The following is a 6,325-nucleotide window of genomic DNA, read 5'->3' as shown; positions in this document are numbered from 1 at the left end:
TCCTCCCATCAATCACAAATGTCCTTAATGGCATTTGCTATTAAGGACATTTGTGATTCACCGGAAGAGGTTGAAATATCATGAAGGTATTAATGGTGAAACCTTTCCAAAAGGTTTTCAATTCAGTTTATCCAGATTCATCAAAGAAATTACTATCTATGACAGCTATACCTTTATAAAATGCATTTATTATTTAATATAAACACTTGAAAAGTCAAAACCACTCCTTGATCCACAGGCTGAAGGATAGATATTGTATTAGCAGCCATGAAAATAACATTAATTTCCAAGTACATCTCCATCTAAGCTTCTGGGTAGCTAGGTGAATTGTCAATAAGCAGCAATCTTTTTTCTTTTTTTCTTTTCTTTCCTTTTTTTTCCTTTATGTAGTTTCCCTCTTGTTGCCCAGGCTGGAGGGCAGTGGCATGGCCTCGGCTCATTTCTACCTCCACCTCCAGGATTCAAGCCATTCTTCTGCGTCAGCCTCCCAAGTAGCTGAAATTACAGGTACAACCACCATGTCCGGCTAATTTTTTTGTATTTTTATAGGAGACAAGGTTTCATCATTTTTGCCAGGCTGGTCTCCAACTCCTGACCTCAGGCGATCCACCCACCTCGCCTCCCAAAGTGCAGGGATTACAGGTGTGAGCCACTGTGCCTGGCCAAGCAGCAATCCCTTTAAAGGAATCGTTTTTGTTTTTTCTTTTTTTGTTTTTTGTTTTTTTCTGAGCAGTAGGTCTCAATAGTGGGATTAAAATATTCAGTAAACCATGCTCTTAACAGATGTGTTGTCACTCAGATTGTGATGTTCCGTTTCTAGAGCACAGAAAGAATAGATTTTGCATGACTCTTAAGGGCCCTGAGATTTACAGAGTGGTCAATGATCATTGGCTGTAACTTAAAGTCACCAACTGCAGTGGTCCTCAAAGAGAGTCAGCCCATCCTTTGAAGTTTTGAAGCCAAGTGTTGACGTCTCTCTAGCGATGAAAATTTTACATCTTCAGTAAGCTTAATCATTTCTAGCTCTGGACTTAAAGTGAGAGACATGCAATTCTTCCTTTCATTTGAGCTCTTTGAGGCCACTGTGGTTACTAATTAACACCCCCGGTGGGTGTCATCTTCCTCCCTCCTCAATCGAGTTCACCCACACCAGGGCATGGGGAATGGGGCTTCCCGCACCCCACACGCCCTGCACGCCTGGGGCTCTCCCACATGGGGCTTTCATGAGCCAGGGAGCAAGGGCCTTCCCCCCGCTCCAGCCCAGCCAGGCTGCGCAGGCAGAAGGAATCTCTCAACCTGTCCCTGCATGCGGGGATTTTGTGTTCGCTGCCCTGGCTCCTCTGGAAGTAGGAGTGTCCCATCCTCAGACTCCTCAGTGGCCTCCGCACCCTAACAAATGCCAGGAGGAAGAGGACCCGCAGCACGGCGGCCTGGTGGGCGCGTGCTCAGTGGGACCGCTTGGGCCCCCTCAAGCTGAGTCACAGGGGCAAGGTGTGTTTGCGCCACCCACGTCCCACCAGAGTCCGCGGTGGGGCTTGAGCCCCAGGTTGCCAGGGCAGCGTGGGAAACCGAAGACCGAGCACCTCCCCCTCTGAAGCTCGCGACCCCGGAGGCCTCCTCGTCAAGCACATATGCAAGCCATCCAGGCACCTCCCAACCACTCCAGGAGCCGGGGCGCTCGTCTACACACACCCCCAGCCTGTTAGATGAGCTCCTGTCAACCCCAGAGTTTCAGCAAAAGGCACAGTCTTTCCTAGATCCGGCGCCACTGGGGAAGCTGAAGGACGTGGAAGAGCCCGCTCCGCTGGAAACACTCCTCAGCCAGGAAGAACACCGGGCTCTGCTGGAGGAGCTTTAGGACGCGGGTTTGGGGCAGGGTGGGGGCAGGGCGGCGGCCTCTCTTTCGCGGTGAACCTCTGACTCGGTATGGAGAGGCTTGTCTTCCCTTCCAGCTGACCTGCCTAGGATCCCTGAGTTCCAGGTCCCGTGAGAGACTCCACTCAGAGGAGGGCTATCATTCTTTCCTGAGCATTCCGGGGATCCCAGGGCCCGTCCAGGTACCGGGAGGCGGACTGTCTACTGCTCATGGGCGGGTTAGCAGGCAGTAGCCTAGGTTTTCTAACTAGTCTAGGCGGAGCTCTCATCCCTTCTCTCTTGCCCCCTGCCGCGTTCTTCAGTGGGGCGGGCGGGAAACACTGGCCCGGTCAGACGCCAGGCCTGCTCTTCTTTCCGCGTCTCGCCACCTCTGCCTCCCCGCCCCACCGTCACTCGCCTACCCTTGCCCCGCCAGCTTCCTCGGCATCGATGTGGAGCACCTGACAGCTAAATGCAGACCCGAGACCCCGTGCAAGCCAGGGTTCTGCCCTTTCTACGCGGGAGGGAACTCAGGCAGAGATGGGGAGAGGAACGGAGACAGAGAAGGAGGGAGCCATGGAGGGAGGAAAGAACGGATGGACCGTGGGACCTTGGAAAGGATGGAGGGATAGAAGGAGAGGGAGAGGGAAGGAGGGAGGGAGGGAGGAAGGGAGGAACTGAGGGAGGGAAGGAGGGAAAGAGGGAGCAAGAAACAGAGAGAGGAAGGCAGAGAGAAAAGTAGTCTTCTGCCTCCAGGACTAGCAGGATCTTGCACTCCGGGAAAATGTTGGGTGCCCAGTGCAGGCTAAGTGCTCGGCCCACAGCCGCGTCGGCCTGCGGCGCTCTCACCTGCCCTCCGGATCGCCAGCCTGGGTTACTTAATCCGGGAGCAATTCAGACGAATTTCGTCTCCCAAGGAATGAGCGAATTGTCCAGAGAGCAATGAGCCGAGACTCAGGCGATTGTCCAATTTTCATCCACATGGTTCACAGATGAGATAGCCCCAGGTTGAGCCTGCAACGGAGCGCGAGGTGGATAGTCCCGTCCACACAGGAGTCACACTCAGGCCGACTGAAGCGTGGTTTCGGGTTCCACGTTCCTTTGCCTTCTGCAAGGGGGCCTGTTGCTCATGCGTCTCTGGCCCGCGAAAGCGTGACCATGTTGATTGTTTCCCGAGCTCTGTGGGGACACAGAAACCTCCAGAGAAGCGTGGAAAAGCAGCATCGTGTCTTCGCTCTCCTTTCCAGTTTCCTGTTTGGAAACAGGCCATAGTGGAGACTCCCCATGTCGCAGGAAACAGGAATCCATCCTCAGGCTGTGATGCACCTGGCGTTTCTTTTCTCTGTAGTTTTGCTCTCGTTTTCTACATCAAAATGAACGAGATCCGTAAGGAATCAGAAAAGGAAGAATCAGAAATAGCACACAAGTCTTGACTACTGTTACATTCCACTTTCAAATCACTCTGAGGTGAAACAACAATTTTCCAAGATTTAAAGAAAAATAGATTTTATAAAAGGGATTCTTTTATTCACTCAATACATCATTTATGTTACTGACAGTAACAAGTGATATTTTTTCCCCTATAATTTGCTCTGATGAAATAAATAATTCTTTTAATTCCTAACAAATGCTACATTTTCAAGACTAAAGGAATTATCAGTAGGCATTCTTTCTTCTTGATCTAAGTTATTTGTCTCTAAAATATGTCAAGTAAGCTTTTAAAGATTCAGGGAGGGGCAGTTTCATGATTTTTTCTCTCAGTAAATTTTGAGGTGGCTCCTCTGGCTTCATCGCTTCACTGTGATCTTTTTCTTCCTCTTCTTTGTTATCTTCTTCCATTTCTTCATCCTCCTCACTGTCTAGAGGCTGAGGAATAAGCTGATTACCCACAAATACATAAGTGGTAATTCTCTGTTTAGCTCTCTTTCTTTTCCTTTTGGGTGGAGCCCTTTGAGGAATCCCCTTGGCCTGCATCTCATCATTTGTGAACTTTCTAAGTGTGCGTCGAATGTAAATAAGAGCCAAGTCCTGTAGATTCCTGACAGTGATTCCTTACAGATTTGTAGTGGTGAGGGTTAGATTTAATTTTATATACAGTTTAAATAATTGTTAAGCTTATGTAACCTGATCTGAATTTGCACTTCCTCTATGAAAACTTCATCTATCTAATAAGGAAATCAAATGTTTGTAGACCTGTTTACCTTACTTTCGTTGCAATCATTGTTGCTGGGTTGCTGTATATATATTCCGGGCAATATATGATTGCAATAACAATACAAAATATTGAATAATTTAGCTTTTAAAAATCCCACAAACTTTATGAAATTTTACAGCCCTGCTACTTTTGCTTTTGAATCTCTTGCCAAAATACATGAGTAAAATATCTGCTTCTCTCAGAGAGATTTTAAGAACACAGCAAGTGAATTATTAAAATAGGAAGTATGTACTTAACACAACTCTTTATATGGACCCTTTACATTTTCAGTATTTTTAAAAATGAGGTTACCTTAACTCTCTAGAATGTTAAAAGTATATTTAGAATTTTTTCTGTAGTTCACTGTATAAAGTATTTGTTTTTTTTAAAAAAGCAAAACCATTGTTATGTGTGACTCTTGATAGGCCACAGAACGAGTGAATGAGCATGGGTGAGGCCAATTTCTTAGATGGCTGTAAGTAGCAGGGCCATGGTAGACCTGGTCAGCCGATGCACTTTAGCAGATGGAACTTCTAGTTTATCTGAATATTTATCTTTGACAAGGTAGGGCTGAGCCTACGTTTGCTTTGGATCTTTCTAGTGCGAGAAATATTCACAGAAATTGTAAGTAGATACCCTTTGTTTGGAAAATCCTGTTCAGAATCATAGTGTAATCTTTGGGACTTATGCCATGCTCATTTGAATTCTTCCCATATTTTTTACATTTCTTTTGGTAAAACTATAATGGTTTTCATTTTTTACTTAATATCACACAATTAAACTCTCATATTTGAGTTTTATTGCAGCTTATCAGTGATAAAAAACAGATAGTAACTGTCATTGTTTGTTTCTTTGTTTTCCTAATAAGGCCTGAAAACAGCCAATCCTTGTTAAGCAACTGTGCAATGTAACATATTTGCTAGAATTACATGGATTATATATTTCTTAAAGGGAAAAATTTGAGAGTATCATGGATTACCACCAGCATTATTATTACAGTAGTTGCTCAGATTTGGTTAAGGAAGCCCAATCAATGTATAGTGAAAGGATTATTAGCTCTCTGCTAAGATTCAGATATTGTTTCAAAAATCTCAGCTCCAATAATTCCACAACATCTAAAAACAAGTGTTTGTGATCATGTGTAAGCATGAAATTGTTCCAAGTAAGTGAGGATATTTTAGTTATGTGAAAGACAGTATCAATGGAAGGTTATTTGTTTTATACCAGTGGCTGGGATGGTGGAATTGGGGTTATTTCTACAGTAATTCTTAGATGATTACTAAACTGTTAAGAAATGCCCCATATCATTTGTATCTAGGAAAGAAAAAAATCAGTATCATACTGCTGTCATCTGTCAGAAATGTTCATTTTATTTTGAATTACATGTGGCTTTTGAAGTTACCTTGAATTCCTGGTGACCACATGTTTTTGTCTGGAAAACCTGGGGAAAGTTATCTGTCCCATCTACCCTGCTTTTTTTTTTTTTTTTTTTTTTTTTTTTTTTTTTTTTTTTCTCAGTTGGAGCTGCTGTTTAGATGATGCTTTTACTATGTAGGAGAGAGTTTTTATTAAGGATATATTTGAAGATTGGGTTTTCCATATTGTCTTTCATTCTTTGACCTTGGCAAAGTGTACAGTAGATTTTCATGATCATTGCATATTTCTTGTCATTGAAATGTATCTTTTATGTTTTTAAATGTATTCATTTTACACTTGTGACATTATCATTGACTTTAAGAGGTAGAAATAAAAAATAAAAATAAAAAAAAGAAAATGAATGAGATCCACACACCTGCGTGTGTGAGACTATCACGGCAACGGCGACACCCACAGGCATTGCCGCCTTCACGGAGAGGGCCTGGAAAACTCAAGACTGTCATGGAGGTTCAGTTCCACACACCACCCTTCCAGGGTGGTTTCTCCCTGAAATCGTATGTGAGCCCAGAGAGAAACTTCCAGTTTCCGTAGAATTCTGGAGAACTCAGAGAGCCAGCCCCAGAAGCCCCCCTTTCCTGGCCGATCTGGCCCCACCTTCACCTACCACACAGGGCCCTGTGTCTGTGATTTCTGGCTTCGGAGGGCGGGATACCCAGGGCCCTTGGGTGCTCACGCATATTCATGAAGGGGTGAAGCTGGTGGGTCTTTATAAGGGCCACTGGCGGGGTCGGACTCCTGACTGGACCTGCGTACAGCACAGAGGCCAACTGAGGCGCACAGGAGCCGCCGGCCTCTCTCTGCCCGTGTCTGTCCGTGAAATTCCGGCGAGGTGCCCTCGCG

At 45.3% G+C, this 6,325-nt stretch overlaps 2 pseudogenes; both read right to left on the bottom strand.

The window, feature by feature from the left end:
- Positions 1,102-2,044, bottom strand: DUX4L39 (double homeobox 4 like 39 (pseudogene); annotated as a pseudogene).
- Positions 2,045-3,343: 1,299 nt separating this feature from the next.
- On the bottom strand, positions 3,344-3,899 carry PCMTD1P8 (protein-L-isoaspartate (D-aspartate) O-methyltransferase domain containing 1 pseudogene 8; annotated as a pseudogene).

This window comes from Homo sapiens, chromosome 20 (genome assembly GCF_000001405.40).
Source record: "Homo sapiens chromosome 20, GRCh38.p14 Primary Assembly".
Classification (NCBI taxonomy): domain Eukaryota; kingdom Metazoa; phylum Chordata; class Mammalia; order Primates; family Hominidae; genus Homo; species Homo sapiens.
The sequence above is the reverse complement of the archived record's forward strand: the minus strand, read 5'-3'. Positions and strand labels throughout refer to the sequence as shown.